A 19,470-nucleotide genomic window follows, 5' to 3' on the forward strand; every position below is an offset into this window, starting at 1 on the left:
CACAATTGCAAAAATGTGGAACCAGTCCAAATGTCCATCAATCAACGAGCAGATAAAGAAATTGTGAGATATATATATAACAGTTTATTGACATGTATATATATCAGTTTATTCATATATATATGAATATATATATGAAAAAAAAATATATATATATGATGGAATACTGCTCAGCCGTAAAAAAGAAATGAATTAATGGCAGTCACAGCAACCTGGGTGAGATTGGAGACTATTATTCTAAGTGGAGTAACTCAGGAATGGAAGACCAAGCATGGTATGTTCTCACTTATAAGTGGGAGCTAAGCTATGAGGATGCAAAGGCATAAGAATGATACAGTAGACTTTGGGGACTTGCAGGGAAAAGCTGGGAAGGGGATGAGGGATAAAAGACAACAAATTGGGTTCAGTGTATGCTGCTTGGGGGAGGGGTACACCAAAATCTCACAGATCATCACTAAAGAACTTACTCATGTAACCAAATACCACCTGTTCCCCCAAACCTATGGAAATAAAAAAATAAGAAAAAAATAAAATTTATAAGTTAAACATTTGAAATATTTTTAAGTTCTTTGAAACTAATGAGAACAAAGATACAACATACCGGTATCTCTGGAACACAGCTAAGGAAGTGTTAAGAGGGAAACTTTTAGCACTAAAATGCCCGCATCAAAAAGTTAGAAAGATCTCAAGTTAACCATCTAACATTACAGCTACAAGAACTAAGGAACTAAGAGAAAACAAAGCTAGCAGAAGACAAGAAAGAACAAGAGTGTAACAAGGAGTTTCTAATATATTCTGGTTAGTAATTCTTCTTGATCATATGGAATTGCAGGTGTCATTTGTCAAGTTGTGGCCATTTTACTTTATTAGTTTTTGATTTATAAAAATTACTGGTTTTAATGTATAATGTATCTTTTCTTTCTGCTCTGTGTTTTGGTATTTTATTACGATACAATTCTGTTACCATGAGTTCATAAATAGCCTCTCCTATTTTTTAACAAAATTAAAATATTGCTTTTTTATATTTAGGTCGTTATTTTACCTGGAGATACACACACACACACATGCACACACACACATATATGTGTTTATACATATACACACATATATATGTATATGCATGTGTCCTTGTGTGTATGTGTGAAAGAGAGTTACGAATTCATTTTTCTCCTATATATATTCAAATATCCCCTCATATTTCATTCAGCAGATTATCATAATTCCTCATTAGTCTTCAATGCCTTTTATTTCATTTTTAAAGTTTTTATTTATGTGTTTTTCTTGGATCTTTATTTTATTCCATTGTTTTATTTGTCTGTTTCTTTTTCAATACCATACTTTGTTAAGTACAATGTATTTATAGAAATTATCTGATAGGGCACAAATACTCACTATGTTGTTGTTGATTTTTTTCCACAGAGGAATTGGCTACTTTTGGCCCTTAATTTTCCAAATAAACTTTAGAATCAGCTTCTTAAGGTTCAGAAGTAGCAATGTTAGGATTTTTAAATAGAATTATTCTGACCATTTAGATATATCTAATTATATGTGGCAGTTTTGCCATCATCGTTCCATCAGTGTATACAGGCCATCTATCTTTTATTGTATGGTATACATAATAAAGTCTTAGAATGTTCACCATAAAGGTCTTGCATATCTTTCTTTAGATTTTCCCCCCATGTACCTAATTATTTTTCTGCCTTATAAATGACCATTATTCAATTAGTGATTCATTGCTGGTATATAGAAATGCAAATACATTTGTTTAATAATCTGATTTCCAGACTCATTGGCAAGTGTTCTTATTAATTTTAATAATTTGTTTATAAATTCTGTTGCAGTTTCTAAATAGGCGATTATAGCAGATGGAAATGAGGAAAGTTTTCAACACATACATCTTTGCTTTCTTTTCTAGTTCTGCTAATAAGACTGTATTCTGCACAACTCTAGGGAATACCATTTATATAGAGTGCATGATGCAAAATGCAGCCATACTGTGCACCTGCAAGGACCTACAGAAGAAGCAGTGCTAGCAGATAGTCTTGTCATATTTTGACTTGTTTAGAAAGGGATTCTTTTTTTTTTTTTAGGTTTAATCAGCACATTTATTTTTTTTATTTTTTTTATTTTGTTTATTTTTTTAATGTTTTTTTTTTTATTATACTCTAAGTTTTAGGGTACATGTGCACATTGTGCAGGTTAGTTACATATGTATACATGTGCCATGCTGGTGCGCTGCACCCACTAACGTGTCATCTAGCATTAGGTATGTCTCCCGATGCTATCCCTCCCCCCTCCCCCGACCCCACCACAGTCCCCAGAGTGTGATATTCCCCTTCCTGTGTCCATGTCATCTCATTGTTCAATTCCTACCTATGAGTGAGAATATGCGGTGTTTGGTTTTTTGTTCTTGCGATAGTTTACTGAGAATGATGGTTTCCAATTTCATCCATGTCCCTACAAAGGACATGAACTCATCATTTTTTATGGCTGCATAGTATTCCATGGTGTATATGTGCCACATTTTCTTAATCCAGTCTATCATTGTTGGACATTTGGGTTGGTTCCAAGTCTTTGCTATTGTGAATAGTGCCGCAATAAACATACGTGTGCATGTGTCTTTATAGCAGCATGATTTATAGTCCTTTGGGTATATACCCAGTAATGGGATGGCTGGGTCAAATGGTATTACTAGTTCTAGATCCGTGAGGAATCGCCACACTGACTTCCACAATGGTTGAACTAGTTTACAGTCCCACCAACAGTGTAAAAGTGTTCCTATTTCTCCACATCCTCTCCAGCACCTGTTGTTTCCTGACTTTTTAATGATTGCCATTCTAACTGGTGTGAGATGATATCTCATAGTGATTTTGATTTGCATTTCTCTGATGGCCAGTGATGATGAGCATTTCTTCATGTGTTTTTTGGCTGCATAAATGTCTTCTTTTGAGAAGTGTCTGTTCATGTCCTTGGCCCACTTTTTGATGGGGTTGTTTGTTTTTTTCTTGTAAATTTGTTTGAGTTCATTGTAGATTCTGGATATTAGCCCTTTGTCAGATGAGTAGGTTGCGAAAATTTTCTCCCATGTTGTAGGTTGCCTGTTCACTCTGATGGTAGTTTCTTTTGCTGTGCAGAAGCTCTTTAGTTTAATTAGATCCCATTTGTCAATTTTGGCTTTTGTTGCCATTGCTTTTGGTGTTTTGGACATGAAGTCCTTGCCCACGCCTATGTCCTGAATGGTAATGCCTAGGTTTTCTTCTAGGGTTTTTATGGTTTTAGGTCTAACGTTTAAATCTTTAATCCATCTTGAATTGATTTTTGTATAAGGTGTAAGGAAGGGATCCAGTTTCAGCTTTCTACATATGGCTAGCCAGTTTTCCCAGCACCATTTGTTAAATAGGGAATCCTTTCCCCATTGCTTGTTTTTCTCAGGTTTGTCAAAGATCAGATAGTTGTAGATATGCGGCATTATTTCTGAGGCCTCTGTTCTGTTCCATTGATCTATATCTCTGTTTTGGTACCAGTACCATGCTGTTTTGGTTACTGTAGCCTTGTAGTATAGTTTGAAGTCAGGTAGTGTGATGCCTCCAGCTTTGTTCTTTTGGCTTAGGATTGACTTGGCGATGCGGGCTCTTTTTTGGTTCCATATGAACTTTAAAGTAGTTTTTTCCAATTCTGTGAAGAAAGTCATTGGTAGCTTCATGGGGATGGCATTGAATCTGTAAATTACCTTGGGCAGTATGGCCATTTTCACGATATTGATTCTTCCTACCCATGAGCATGGAATGTTCTTCCATTTGTTTGTGTCCTCTTATTTCCTTGAGCAGTGGTTTGTAGTTCTCCTTGAAGAGGTCCTTCACATCCCTTGTAAGTTGGATTCCTAGGTATTTTATTCTCTTTGAAGCAATTGTGAATGGGAGTTCACTCATGATTTGGCTCTCTGTTTGTCTGTTGTTGGTGTATAAGAATGCTTGTGATTTTTGTACATTGATTTTGTATCCTGAGACTTTGCTGAAGTTGCTTATCAGCTTAAGGAGATTTTGGGCTGAGATGATGGGGTTTTCTAGATAAACAATCATGTCATCTGCAAACAGGGACAATTTGACTTCCTCTTTTCCTAATTGAATACCCTTTATTTCCTTCTCCTGCCTGATTGCCCTGGCCAGAACTTCCAACACTATGTTGAATAGGAGCGGTGAGAGAGGGCATCCCTGTCTTGTGCCAGTTTTCAAAGGGAATGCTTCCAGTTTTTGCCCATTCAGTATGATATTGGCTGTGGGTTTGTCATAGATAGCTCTTATTATTTTGAAATACGTCCCATCAATACCTAATTTATTGAGAGTTTTTAGCATGAAGGGTTGTTGAATTTTGTCAAAGGCTTTTTCTGCATCTATTGAGATAATCATGTGGTTTTTGTCTTTGGCTCTGTTTATATGCTGGATTACATTTGTTGATTTGCGTATATTGAACCAGCCTTGCATCCCAGGGATGAAGCCCACTTGATCATGGTGGATAAGCTTTTTGATGTGCTGCTGGATTTGGTTTGCCAGTATTTAATTGAGGATTTTTGCATCGATGTTCATCAGAGATATTGGTCTAAAATTCTCTTTTTTGGTTGTGTCTCTGCCCGGCTTTGGTATCAGAATGATGCTGGCCTCATAAAATGAGTTAGGGAGGATTCCCTCTTTTTCTATTGATTGGAATAGTTTCAGAAGGAATGGTACCAGCTCCTCCTTGTACCTCTGGTAGAATTCGGCTGTGAATCCATCTGGTCCTGGACTCTTTTTGGTTGGTAAACTATTGATTATTGCCACAATTTCAGCTCCTGTTATTGGTCTATTCAGAGATTCAACTTCTTCCTGGTTTAGTCTTGGGAGAGTGTATATGTCGAGGAATGTATCCATTTCTTCTAGATTTTCTAGTTTATTTGCGTAGAGGTGTTTGTAGTATTCTCTGATGGTAGTTTGTATTTCTGTGGGATCGGTGGTGATATCCCCTTTATCATTTTTTATTGTGTCTATTTGAGTCTTCTCTCTTTTTTTCTTTATTAGTCTTGCTAGTGGTCTATCAATTTTGTTGATCCTTTCAAAAAACCAGCTCCTGGATTCATTAATTTTTTGAAGGGTTTTTCGTGTCTCTATTTCCTTCAGTTCTGCTCTGATTTTAGTTATTTCTTGCCTTCTGCTAGCTTTTGAATGTGTTTGCTCTTGCTTTTCTAGTTCTTTTAATTGTGATGTTAGGGTGTCAATTTTGGATCTTTCCTGCTTTCTCTTGTGGGCATTTAGTGCTATAAATTTCCCTCTACACACTGCTTTGAATGCGTCCCAGAGATTCTGGTATGTTGTGTCTTTGTTCTCGTTGGTTTCAAAGAACATCTTTATTTCTGCCTTCATTTCGTTATGTACCCAGTAGTCATTCAGGAGCAGGTTGTTCAGTTTCCATGTAGTTGAGCCGTTTTGAGTGAGATTCTTAATCCTGAGTTCTAGTTTGATTGCACTGTGGTCTGAGAGATAGTTTGTTATAATTTCTGTTCTTTTACATTTGCTGAGGAGAGCTTTACTTCCCAGTATGTGGTCAATTTTGGAATAGGTGTGGTGTGGTGCTGAAAAAAATGTATATTCTGTTGATTTGGGGTGGAGAGTTCTGTAGATGTCTATTAGGTCCGCTTGGTGCAGAGCTGAGTTCAATTCCTGGGTATCCTTGTTGACTTTCTGTCTCGTTGATCTGTCTAATGTTGACAGTGGGGTGTTAAAGTCTCCCATTATTAATGTGTGGGAGTCTAAGTCTCTTTGTAGGTCACTCAGGACTTGCTTCATGAATCTTGGTGATCCTGTATTGGGTGCATATATTTTTAGGATAGTTAGCTCTTCTTGTTGAATTGATCCCTTTACCATTATGTAATGGCCTTCTTTGTCTCTTTTGATCTTTGTTGGTTTAAAGTCTGTTTTATCAGAGACTAGGATTGCAACCCCTGCCTTTTTTTGTTTTCCATTGGCTTGGTAGATCTTCCTCCTTCCTTTTATTTTGAGCCTATGTGTGTCTCTGCACATGAGATGGGTTTCCTGAATACAGCACAGTGATGGGTCTTGACTCTTTATCCAATTTGCCAGTCTGTGTCTTTTAATTGGAGAATTTAGTCCATTTACATTTAAAGTTAACATTGTTATGTGTTAATTTGATCCTGTCATTATGATGTTAGCTGGTGATTTTGCCGTTAGTTGATGCAGTTTCTTCCTAGTCTCGATGGTCTTTACATTTTGGCATGATTTTGCAGCAGCGGCTGGTACCAGTTGTTCCTTTCCATGTTTAGCGCTTCCTTCAGGAGCTCTTTTAGGGCAGGCCTGGTGGTGACAAAATCTCTCAGCATTTGCTTGTCTGTAAAGTATTTTATTTCTCCTTCACTTATGAAGCTTAGTTTGGCTGGATATGAAATTCTGGGTTGAAAATTCTTTAAGAATGTTGAATATTGGCTCCCACTCTCTTCTGGCTTGTAGGGTTTCTGCCGAGAGATCCGCTGTTAGTCTGATGGGCTTCCCTTTGTGGGTAACCCAACCTTTCTCTCTGGCTGCCCTTAACAGTTTTTCCTTCATTTCAACTTTGGTGAATCTGACAATTATGTGTCTTGGAGTTGCTCTACTTGAGGAGTATCTTTGTGGCGTTCTCTGTATTTCCTGAATCTGAATGTTGGCCTGCCTTGCTAGATTGGGGAAGTTCTGCTGGATAATATCCTGCAGAGTGTTTTCCAACTTGGTTCCATTCTCCCCATCACTTTCAGGTACACCAATCAGAGGTAGATTTGGTCTTTTCACATAGTCCCATATTTCTTGGAGGCTTTGCTCATTTCTTTTTATTCTTTTTTCTCTAAACTTCCCTTCTCACTTCATTTCATTCATTTCATCTTCCATTGCTGATACCCTTTCTTCCAGTTGATCGCATCGGCTCCTGAGGCTTCTGCATTCTTCACGTAGTTCTCGAGCCTTGGTTTTCAGCTCCATCAGCTCCTTTAAGCACTTCTCTGTATTGGTTATTCTAGTTATACATTCTTCTAAATTTTTTTCAAAGTTTTCAACTTCTTTGCCTTTGGTTTGAATGTCCTCCCGTAGCTCAGAGTAATTTGATCGTCTGAAGCCTTCTTCTCTCAGCTCGTCAAAGTCATTCTCCATCCAGCTTTGTTCCATTGCTGGTGAGGAACTGCGTTCCTTTGGAGGAGGAAAGGCGCTCTGCGTTTTAGACTTTCCAGTTTTTCTGTTCTGTTTTTTCCCCATCTTTGTGGTTTTATCTACTTTTGGTCTTTGACGATGGTGATGTACAGATGGGTTTTTGGTGTGGATGTCCTTTCTGTTTGTTAGTTTTCCTTCTAACAGACAGGACCCTCAGCTGCAGGTCTGTTGGAGTACCCTGCCGTGTGAGGTGTCAGTGTGCCCCTGCTGGGGGGTGCCTCCCAGTTAGGCTGCTCGGGGGTCAGGGGTCAGGGACCCACTTGAGGAGGCAGTCTGCCCGTTCTCAGATCTCCAGCTGCGTGCTGGGAGACCCACTGCTCTCTTCAAAGCTGTCAGACAGGGACATTTAAGTCTGCAGAGGTTACTGCTGTCTTTTTGGTTGTCTGTGCCCTGCCCCCAGAGGTGAAGCCTACAGAGGCAGGCAGGCCTCCTTGAGCTGTGGTGGGCTCCACCCAGTTCGAGCTTCAGGGCTGCTTTGTTTACCTGAGCAAGCCTGGGCAATGGCGGGCGCCCCTCCCCCAGCCTCGCTGCTGCCTTGCAGTTTGATCTCAGACTGCTGTGCTAGCAATCAGCGAGATTCCGTGGGCGTAGGACCCTCTGAGCCAGGTGTGGGATATAGTCTCGTGGTGCACCGTTTTTTAAGCCGGTCTGAAAAGCGCAATATTCGGGTTGGAGTGACCCGATTTTCCAGGTGCATCCGTCACCCCTTTCTTTGACTCGGAAAGGGAACTCCCTGACCCCTTGCGCTTCCCAGGTGAGGCAATGCCTCGCCCTGCTTTGGCTCGCGGACGGTGCACGCACCCACTGGCCTGCGCCCACTGTCTGGCACTCCCTAGTGAGATGAACCCGGTACCTCAGATGGAAACGCAGAAATCACCCGTTTTTCTGCGTCGCTCACGCTGGGAGCTGTAGACATGAGCTGTTCCTATTCGGCCATCTTGGCTCCTCCCCACGAAGTAGGTCTCTACTTACATTTTTAAAATACTTTATTGTTGTATGATTTTATATTTGTTGTTTTCCTTATTCAATTATCTTTATCATTATTCTATTTTATTTTAGTCTAGATTCTTACATGAATATCTCATCATTTTCATATTTTTAGCACAATTTTGAAGAACATCAGTTTTGTACTAATTGAGCTTTCAGCTTTATCCTATAAAATGAGACATGTATATAGCATTTACAATATTAATTTTTCTTTCTTGAAATATATATATTTTAATTTTATTTTTCCATAAGTTATGGGGGTACAGGTGGTATTTGGTTACATGAGTACGTTCTTTAGTGGAGATTTCTGAGATCCTGGTGCACCCATCACCCGAGCAGTATACACTGCACCGTATTTGTTGTCTTTTATCCCTCGCCCTCCTCCCACTCTTCCCCCCAAGCTCCCATGGTCTATTGTATCATTCTTATGCCTTTGCATCCTCATAGCTTAGCTCCCACATATCAGTGAGAACATACGATGTTTGGTTTTCCATTTCTGAGTTACTTCACTTAGAATAATAGTCTCTAATCTCATCCAGATCATTGCATATTTTTAAAATGTTCTAATGTAAATTGTATTGTGTTAAGAAATGTGATACATGTAGTAATACTTTTTGAAAATTTGTTGAGACAGGCTTTATGACCTGGTAGGCGTTAATTTTCATTAATGTTTATTATATGCTTGAGAAAATGTGAAATAATTGAGCTGCAGTGTTCTAAGGCTCTTAGATCAAGCTTGCTAATTATGTTGCTCAACCCACTTTTCATTTGTGCTATTCTGTTGTTTTATATTCTTAGATTTTTTTTGTCTGCTTTTTCTATTGAATACTGAGAGTGGTGCACTAAATAATCTTACTGCTGTCTACAATAATTTCGAATTTTTCAATTTAATGTTGTCATTCTGTTTATTTCTATTGAATAGTGAGACTAGTGAACTAAATTATCTTACTGCTATCCACAATAATTTTAAAATTTTCAATTTAATGTTATCATTCTGTTTATTTTTCTGTTATAAGTTATATATAGATGTATGTGCCTATATGTAGTGCACACATAGCCATGCAATACACGTGCAGGTTCAGGACTACCATATTTTTCTGGTGAAGTTCATTTCTTTAATGATAATATAATGCTGTATTTTATCACCATGAAGCTTTTGTTTTGAGGTTAACATTTTATTCCTGATATTACTATAATGTGCCAGGTTTCTTTTTTCCAGAATTTATCTTATAAATGTTCATTCCAATTATTTTACTTTCAACATTTGTTTATCCTTATCTTTTAAATGTTTGTCTTGTAAAACACATGTAACTTAATTCATTGATTTTTTTGAAGGGTTTTTTGTGTCTCTATCTCCTTCAGTTCTGCTGTGATCTTAGTTATTTCTTGTCTTCTGCTAAATTTTTAATTTGTTTGCTGTTGCTTCTCTAGTTCTTTTAATTTTGATGTTAGAGTGTCAGTTTTAGATCTTTCTTGCTTTCTCTTGTGGGCATTTAGTGCTATAAATTTCCCTTTACAAACTGCTTTAAATGTGTCCCAGAGATTCTGGTACATTGTGTCTTCGTTCTCATTGGTTTCAAATGACATCTTTATTTCTCCCTTCATTTTGTTATTTACCAAGTATATTATTTTGCTAGGGCTGCCATAATACAGTACCAAAAACTGCATGGCTTAAACACAAAAATTGATTGTCTCACACTTTTAGATGCTGGAAGTCTGAGATCAAGGTGTCAGTAGCATTGGTTCCTTCAGATGTCTGTAAGGAAATATCTTCTCTACACCAGTTCTCTAGTTCCTGGGGCGTTTCTGGCAATCTTTGGCATTCTTTTGTTTATAGAGGCATCAGCCCGATCTCCACCTTCATCTTTTCATGGTGTTCTCCCTGTGTGTATGTCTCTGTGCCCACATTTATCCTTTTCCTCAGGCCGCTAGTCATGTTGGATTAGGGACCCACCCTATGCTGGTATGACCTCATCTTAACTTATTACATCTACAACAACCATATTTCCAAGTAAGTTTAGATTCTGAGATACTGGGGCTTAGGACTTCAACATATGAATTTTGGGGGAACATAATCTATAACACTGAGTTTTAAAAATATGTATGTACATATATAATTATATACAATATTGTAAACATTTGCATGCAGATATGTGTGTATACGTGTGTACAAACATTGTATATATGAACATATATTTGAATTTATGTCTACCTTTTTGTTTTCTAATTTACCTATTTTATACTTGCTTTTCTCTTTTCCTGGCTTATTTTTAACTGATCAAATAGTTTTCTTTTTTCACTTTTATATGTTATACACTAAATTTCTATGTTTTGGGGATTCATCTTTAAAATTTAATTAATCTTCATCAGAACTATACAAGAAACTTAGAAAAATGTCGTGATCATATACTCATATGATTTAAATTATTACCTAGTAGGTTTTTATTTCTAACTTGCTATGAACACCCTTATAAGTTAGTCATTGTTATTATCATTGTTTCATATAAATAATATTTATAAAAATCTATACATTGATTTTTTGCTCTGCTGAGTATCCTTTCTTGTCTCCATGTCCTCCGCCTGGACCCAAGTTTCTTCTTCCTGCTGTATGTATCTTAAATATTAATTGAGTAAGGGGCTTTTTAAAACATTTAGTTTTGTTTTTCTGAAAAACAGTCTTATAAGTTTTAAGTTTCAAGCTGTTGCCTCTCTTTTCTTCTTACCTGCTACAGTAAATTCTCTCTATTTTTTTTTTATTATTATACTTTAAGTTTTAGGGTACATGTGCACAATGTGCAGGTTTGTAACATATGTATACATGTGCCATGCCGGTGTGCTGCACCCATTAACTCGTCATTTAGCATTAGGTATATCTCCTAATGCCATCCCTCCCCACTCCCCCCACCCCACAACAGTCCCCAGAGTGTGATGTTCCCCTTCCTGTGTCCATGTGTTCTCATTGTTCAGTTCCCATCTATGAGTGAGACCATGCGGTGTTTGGTTTTTTGTCCTTGCGATAGTTTACTGAGAATGATGATTTCCAATTTCATCCATGTCCCTACAAAGGACATGAACTCATCATTTTTTATGGCTGCATAGTATTCCATGGTGTATTTGTGCCACATTTTCTTAGTCCAGTCTGTCATTGTTGGACATTTGGGTTGGTTCCAAGTCTTTGCTATTGTGAATAGTGCCGCAATAAACATACATGTGCATGTGTCTTTATAGCAGCATGATTTATAGTCCTTTGGGTATATACCCAGTAATGGGATGGCTGGGTCAAATGGTATTTCTAGTTCTAGATCCGTGAGGAATCGCCACACTGACTTCCACAATGGTTGAACTAGTTTACAGTCCCACCAACAGTGTAAAAGTGTTCCTATTTCTCCACATCCTCTCCAGCACCTGTTGTTTCCTGACTTGTTAATGTTCACCATTCTAACTGGTGTGAGATGGTATCTCATTGTGGTTTTGATTTGCATTTCTCTGATGGCCAGTAATGATGAGCATTTTTTCATGTGTCTTTTGGCTGCATAAATGTCTTCTTTTGAGAAGTGTCGGTTCATATCCTTTGCCCACTTGTTGATGGGGTTGTTTGTTTTTTTCTTGTAAATTTGTTTGAGTTCATTGTAGATTCTGAATGTTAGCCCTTTGTCAGATGAGTATGTTGCGAAAATTTTCTCCCATTTTGTAGGTTGCCTGTTCACTCTGATGGTAGTTTCTTTTGCTGTGCAGAAGCTCTTTAGTTTAATGAGATCCCATTTGTCAATTTTGGCTTTTGTTACCTTTGCTTTTTGTGTTTTAGATATGAAGTCCTTGCCCATGCCTATGTCCTGAATGGTAATGTCTAGGTTTTCTTCTAGGGTTTTTATGCTTTTAGGTCTAACGTTTAAGTCTTTAATCCATCTTGAATTAATTTTTGTATAAGGTGTAAGGAAGGGATCCAGTTTCAGCTTTCTACATATGGCTAGCCAGTTTTCCCAGCACCATTTATTAAATAGGGAATCTTTTCCCCATTGCTTGTTTTTCTCAGGTTTGTCAAAGATCAGATAGTTGTAGATATGTGGCATTATTTCTGAGGGTTCTGTTCTGTTCCATTGATCTATATCTCTGTTTTGGTACCAGTACCATGCTGTTTTGTTTACTTGTAGTATAGTTTGTAGTATAGTATAGTTTGAAGTCAGGTAGCGTGATGCCTCCAACTTTGTTCTTTTGGTTTAGGATTGTCTTGGCAGTGTGGGCTCTTTTTTGGTTCCATATGAACTTTAAAGTAGTTTTTTTCCAATTCTGTGAAGAAAGTCATTGGTAGCTTGATGGGGATGGCATTGAATTTATAAATTACCTTGGGCAGTATGGCCATTTTCACGATATTGATTCTTCCTACCCATGAGCATGGAATGTTCTTCCATTTGTTTGTATCCTCTTTTATTTCATTGAGCAGTGGTTGAGATGGAGTCTCACTGTTGCCCAGGCTGGAGTGCAGTGGCGCGATCTCAGCTCACTGCAAGCTCTGCCTCCCAGGTTCACGCCATTCTCCTGCCTCAGCCTCCCGAGTAGCTGGGACTACAGGTGCCCATCAGCACGCCTGGCTGATTTTTTGTATTTTAGTAGATACGGGGTTTCACCCTGTTAACCAGGATGGTCTCGATCTCCTGACTTTGTGATCTGCCTGCCTCGGCCTCCCAAAGTGCTGGGATTACAGGTGTGAGCCACCATGTCCGGCCAGTTCTCTCTATTTTTGTGCTTTCCAGTATAATAGCAACTTGTTCAAATGTAGATTTTTAAAATATCAAACTACGAAAATTTTAAATACCCAGATTTTATTTAGTATTTATTGTGCTTTCTAAATCTGAAAGCACGATTCCTTCATTGACTGTAGAAAATCATTACTCATCATATCTTTAATTGCCAAATCCCCTTTCTCTCCATTTCTTTCTCTCCATTTCTTTCCTAGAAATTTGAATACAGGTGCATTGAAAATTCCTCCTAGATGTTGTCAGTGTTCTGAATTTTGGCCATTCCAAAAGCTGTGTAGTGGCATCTCGTTGTTTTAATTTGCATTTATATATGATGGCATGCAATATGGAGAATCTTTTCATATTTTATTTGCTATATATATATATATATATATATATATATATATTCTTTGGTGAGGTGTCTGTTAAGGTCTTTGGCCCATTTTTTAAGCAGTCTCTTTGTTTTCTTTTTGTTGAAGGTCCTACTTTATATTTTTTATTGTATATGGTTGATTTCTTATAGCTTCACTTCTGCTTTTTTTTTTTTTTTTTTTTTTACTTATTTATATTCTGAATCCAGTAATTTTATTAGCCAGTGTTATTGAGGGTCTAATTTTGGTGTTTGTTCTTTCTGCTGACTCCTGTTCTCTTGCTTGATTTATTTTGTTTTTATGCTTTTCTTTTTGAACTTAGATACCCTTTTCAGTGCTTCTTCAGCTTTGAAAGCCCTGTGAAGAATGCATGGAAGGTCTTTCTCTCCGGCGAGAATTTTCACTTCCTAATAAATGGGGCCCTGATGTGCTTAGGGTTTCTTAGACCCTAATTCCTCATAATAGAGAGCTGTGGTTATAAATAGGCAGGGAAGATTTTTTTTCCCCCAAAGCCCATCCTGGGACAGACAATTTTCCTTTTAGTTTCCTTTGTTGGCAGAGAGATATTATTCTAGCATATCATTTTACCTGCAGTATAGCCCCTTAAGGGTTCCAGGTTTACACAGGTCTAGATTCCAACTTCCATTTTTAAAAGGCAAAAGGCCTTGTTTTCTTCCCTGGCAGGCATTAAAACTCAAACCTCTTGGCTAGTAAGCATAGCAAATGCTCCCAGGATAGTTGCTGCATGGGTGGCAGCTTACAAATTTAATTTTCACTCGTCCCTCTGTTTAGGTCCCTGAAGATATATCTTTCTTTCTCAGTAGCTCAGCTATGCATCTGAAAGAATGTTTGTTACAGTTTATCTATCATTTCTAAGCATGTTTTTTTCTTCAGAAGTTTTTCAAAAAGTTCCCCAGATAACCAGAAGTAGAGATATTCTGACTGCTTTCTATATTTTAAATATACATCAAAATTACAGTCCATTGATCACCTTCTCTTGCGTTTTCCAGCATTGTTAACCATTTATTGGTTTGGGGTTTTTAAAACAATATGTTCTCCATTATTCCAAGAGATTTTTGTGAAGAAGGTATAAAATGTAGGTGACCTCAGTCTACCATCTTAACTCGATTTTTGAACTGGGTCTTGAAGGTTGAATGGAAACTTGCCAGGTGGAAATAGAGGTGAAGGCCAGGCTATGCTAAGGAAAGGCAATCATGAAAAATACACTTTCCTTAGGTAATAATGAAAAGTTAACTATAGCTAGTGAGCACTATTCATTAGGACAGATATGCCAGATGAATCTAAAAGTGAGATAGGTTTAAATGATATTAAAAAGGATCTTGCATGACACTACCAAGAGTCTGTTGTCCTGTTATGTAATTCAGCAAATATAGTTGTCATTTTTTATTACTTACTAGGGAGTAGGTATTGTACTAGAGATTTTACATCAGGTGTTATGCTTATTCATATTTTATTAGTAAAGTGAGCCAAAGAGAGATTTAATTAGTAAAGTGAGCCAAAGAGATCTGTGTTAACGTCACAGAGATCCCAGGAGGTGAAGTCAAGATTTCGTCTGACTGAAGAGCTTATGAACTAAATCAGTTCCTGCAGCATTCCCCAATAAATAAAAATAAATCAGTAAAAGTTTTTAAGAAAAGAGTGAAGTAGTGAGACTGATTATTTAGGAAGATTATTCTGTCAATCTGGTAGTGAAATGAATGACGGAATTACATACCACTCATAGCAGCTGCTTATCACCCCAGAGAAGAAAGTGGCAGCCTGGGAAACAAAGGGAAGAACAAGAGAGGACCTTGCAGGGGAGCTCAACCCGTTTGTTTATGCCTAGTGTTCCATTATTGGAATCCTAAGCTTGTGGGAGTTATTTATATCCTACTGCTCAAGGTCATTGCCAAGGTCTGATTTTTCACACACACACACACGCACATGCATGCACACACACAAAATTATAACCTGCGGCATAAATGGGTTAAAGGTCTTTACTTTTACTCTTCATGAGATTGGAGGTCATTGGAATATTGTAGCAGAGGAGTGAGATCCTTATAAATTTTAAAATAAGCATTTTTTTTCAACTTTTATTTTAGATTCAGGGAGTACGTGTGCAGACTTTTACATGGGTGTATTGTGTGATGCTGAGGTTTGGGGTACAACTGATCTCACCACCCACGTACTAAGTATAGTACCCAACAGGTTGTTCTTTAACCCCTTGCTCATCTCCCTCCCTCTCCCCTCTAATAGCCCTAAGTGTCTTTTGCTCCTGTCTTTGTGTCCATGGGTACCCAATGTTTAGCTCCCACCTAAAAGTGAGAACATGTGGTATTTGGTTTTCTGTTCCTGACTTAATCTGCTTAGGGCAATGACCTCCATTAAGAAAAGGGAATTCTCATACCCGATTGATGGGAATATAAATTAGTTCAACCACTGCAGAAGGGAGTTTGGAAATTTCTCAAATAACTTAAAACAGAACTACCACTTGACTCAGCAGTCCCATTGCTAGGTATATACTGAAAGGAAAATAAACCGTTCTACCAAAAAGAAAGATGCACTTCTATGTACATTGCAGCACCATTCACAATAGCAAAGACATGGAATCGTCCTAGGCACCCATCTGTGGTGTAATGGATAAAGAAAATGTGGTAAATATACACTATGGAATACTACACAGCCACAAAAAAGGGCAGTTTTATGGCTATATAGAAAATGGAGGTTAGGAGGGCAAGGGTTAAAGCGAAGAATTATGCATTACTGACATACTCCGTTGTCTTTATCTACAAGTATATAATATTTGGGTCTCCTTGGCTGGTAAGCAGAGGTGTGGGGTATGAGAGTATTCAAAGAGTCCAGTTCTTGGAGGACCAGCTGAGTAGAGTGTTCGAAGGTTGGCCATGTTGTCTTCTGAAGAGGAAAGGTGAGTAGGAGAGATCAACATTGGAGAAGTAATAGGGGAGGTACAGTGTAGTATCAATGACAGGAGCTCAAATCACATTACAAGGGAATCCTAGGCTTCAGAAATTCTCCCTAAAACTGGAAAAGATAAAGAGGTTTTGTGACGTGGGTGTATTCTATATAGATGAGAAATGATTGACAAATGCAGGCTCATGTTACACATATGCTTTCTCGTTTAATATTTTAGATTTTGTGAAACAGGTATTATCATTCTCAATTTATAGATAGGAAACAGTCTCAGAGACATTAGCTGATTTTCCTAAAACTAACCAGCATTAACTGGCAGAGGTGGAATTCAAACATAGATTTTTTTGGCCCTAAAAGGTGTGTACCTTTTGAGGACACCATCCTGGAAGGAAGGCTTTGTTTTAATTCAGATGAAAATTGCTCTGCAGTGGATTGGAACTCAGAGGGAAGCTGAAGAAAATTGCAGTAGCCGTGGAGACAGAGGCATCTGGAGGGAGCTTTCACTTTCTCTAATGTTGTCAAGTGTGTCACTCGGGGATAATGCTCACTGGTCTTGGAGACGGTCCCTTCTCCCAGAATTTAAGTTCAGTCCTAATTCTGGAGTCTCTTTTTCCCTCCTGTGGGTCAGAAGCCAGAGCTCCTGAGGGTGGCCATGTGCATTCTCATCAAGGCCGTGCCAAGCACCAAGCGCCCCAAGAGCTCTGGCAATTCGAAACCCTCACCTGCCCTTACTGCTTCCCGGTGGGGAACCTGCTGACATCATACAATGAGAGATACATTTACAGGGCTTCCCAGGGGCTCCGTGAAGCAGTTCTGCTTCTAAAGTGAGCAATGCTGGGGCAGGGGTTTTGAAACTACCTCCTTTCCATGTTCACTCCTTTCTATCCCCATGGCTCCTAAATGTGTGTGTGTGTGTGTGTGTGTGTGTGTGTGTGTGTTTGTGTGTGTCCGTGTATGTGTGTGTGTGAAAGAGAGACAGACAGTATATATATTAATATATACAAATTGGTGCCTCCAATTCTCAGGATAAAAATATCCAACTGGCCGGGCATGGTGGCTCATACCTGTAATCCCAGAACTTTGGGAGGTCGAGACGGGTGGATCACCTGAGGTCAGGAGTTTGTGACCAGCCTGGCCAACATGGTAAAACCCCGTCAACTAAAATACAAAAATTATCCAGGTGGAGGTGGGCGCCTGTAATCCTAGCTACTTGAGAGGCTGAGGCATGAGAATCGCTTGAACCCAGAAGGCAGAGGTTGCAGTGAGCCAAGATCGTGGCACTGCACACCAGCCTGGGCGACAGAGTTAGACTTCGTCCAAAAAAAAAAAAAAAAAAAAACCGAACCATCTTCTCTTTTGCTCCTGTGTGTTCTAAAAGTTGAAGTTTAGCATCTTCCAAATAAAGAGAAAAAGCAGATTGACACAAGGATTCCGTGGGTCCATAGAATCAGACAAGAGGACATTCAAGGAAGGAAGGAGTGGAAAAAGAGTCTAAAAGAAAGGCAAACAGATGAGACTAATTCCACCAGCTGATGCTAAATAAATAAAGCAAGAAGGATGTAACATCATATATCAAGAGTCTGTCAATTCCTGCCAACAGAATAGGTTTATTTTACATTTACTGAATAACTGCTCTGTGTTGTGTAGGGGATATTAAGGTTTTTTTTCCCATTTCTTTCTTTCTTTTCTTTTATTATTATTATTTTTTTTGATAATGGAGTTTCACTCTTGTTGCCTAGGCTGGAGTGCAATGGTATTTATTTCTTAATACTCTTGCAAACCCAGAGAAGGAGACATTCCCAAAGATTAAATGACTTATCCAAGTTTGTTCAGCCCTGATTATCAGAGCCAGCATTCTAACCCAGGTCTTTCTGATTTCCAAGTCCAGGACTTTTTCCACCATATGATCCTGCTACCTTTAGATGGAAATTGGAAATGAATAAAATGAAACTGAGAGCCTGTGGAAGTAAAACAGCACAAAAAAAATGGTGGAATTATGTTTATCTCTGCATCAGCCTTGTCTGAGTTTATTAGTGGTGCTATAACAAAATACTATAAACTGGGTAGTAAACAACCTAAATTTATTTTTCATAGTCCTGGGGACTGAGAAGTCCAAGATCAAGGTGCCTGGAGATTTGCATCTGGTGAGGGCCTGCTTTTTGGTTCACAGATGGCACCTTCTCACTGTGTCCTCACATAGTGGAAGGGGTAAAGTATCTTTTTTTTTTTTTTTTTTCTGAGTTGGAGTCTTGCTCTGTCGCCAGGCTGGAGTACAGTGGCGCGATCTCGGCTCACTGCAACCTCTGCCTCCCGGGTTCAAGTGATTCTCCTGCCTCAGCCTCCTGAGTAGCTGAGACTACAGGCACGTGCCACCACGCCAAGCTAATTTTTGTATATTTAGTAGAGACAGGTTTTCACCATGTTGCAGGATGGTCTTGAACTCTTGACCTCGTGAATGGCCCACATTGGCCTCCCAAAGTGCTGGAAATACAGGTGTGTGCCACCACGCCCCTCCGGGGTAAAGTATCTTATATGGACACTAATGTCATTCATGGAGACATTTCCCTCATTTCCTATTCCCCTGCCAAAGTCCCCAACTCCTAAAATCATCATGCTGGTGACTAGTTTCAATATACAAATTTTGGATACACAAACAGTTCATAGCACACCTTGACACTAGATCTGGCTCAATACCACTCTCCAGCCATCTCTTCTTTGTGCTTCTGTTATTCTCCCCAGTGGCATCTTCTCAACTTGCTCCCAGAGTCTCTGTTCTGGTCTTTTGGCTCCCCCCTCTAGTTTGCCAAGGCCCTTGGAATTTAATTCTGTTTACCAAGAAAGCAATAAATGCCTATACTGTGCTCACCAGTGAGGCACCAGGGAATGCAAATATGGACACAGCTCAGGAGGGAAAATGGGCAAGAGACGGGATCAGATCTAGAGTTTTGTGTCTACCACAGGTTTGGTTGTCAGGCACATAATGAAATGTATTCGCCTATGCAACATATATTTATTGATATATACTAAGTTCTAGACATTGTTCTATTTGGTTGGGTGTGGTGGCTCATGCCTGTAATCCCAGCACTTTGGGAGGCCGAAGCATGTGGATCACCTGAGGTCAGGAGTTCAAGACCAGCCTGGCAAACATGGTGAAACCCTGTCTCTACTAAAAATACAAAAATTAGCCGGGCATGCTGGCGGGCACCTGTAATCCCAGCTACTTGG

The 19,470-nt window shown here is 38.8% G+C and overlaps 2 annotated features.

Annotated features, from left to right (window-relative positions):
- Nucleotides 6,943-7,741: an enhancer, noted in NCBI's record as "H3K27ac-H3K4me1 hESC enhancer chr22:34950472-34951270 (GRCh37/hg19 assembly coordinates)". NCBI's record gives its function as "activates a minimal SCP1, AML or CMV promoter by ChIP-STARR-seq in naive and primed H9 embryonic stem cells {active_cell/tissue: H9 hESC(naive and primed)}" and the evidence as "EXISTENCE:reporter gene assay evidence [ECO:0000049][PMID:30033119]".
- Nucleotides 7,742-8,539: an enhancer, noted in NCBI's record as "H3K27ac-H3K4me1 hESC enhancer chr22:34951271-34952068 (GRCh37/hg19 assembly coordinates)". NCBI's record gives its function as "activates a minimal SCP1, AML or CMV promoter by ChIP-STARR-seq in primed H9 embryonic stem cells {active_cell/tissue: H9 hESC(primed)}" and the evidence as "EXISTENCE:reporter gene assay evidence [ECO:0000049][PMID:30033119]".

The sequence above is a fragment of the Homo sapiens genome, chromosome 22, assembly GCF_000001405.40.
Source record: "Homo sapiens chromosome 22, GRCh38.p14 Primary Assembly".
Taxonomy (NCBI): domain Eukaryota; kingdom Metazoa; phylum Chordata; class Mammalia; order Primates; family Hominidae; genus Homo; species Homo sapiens.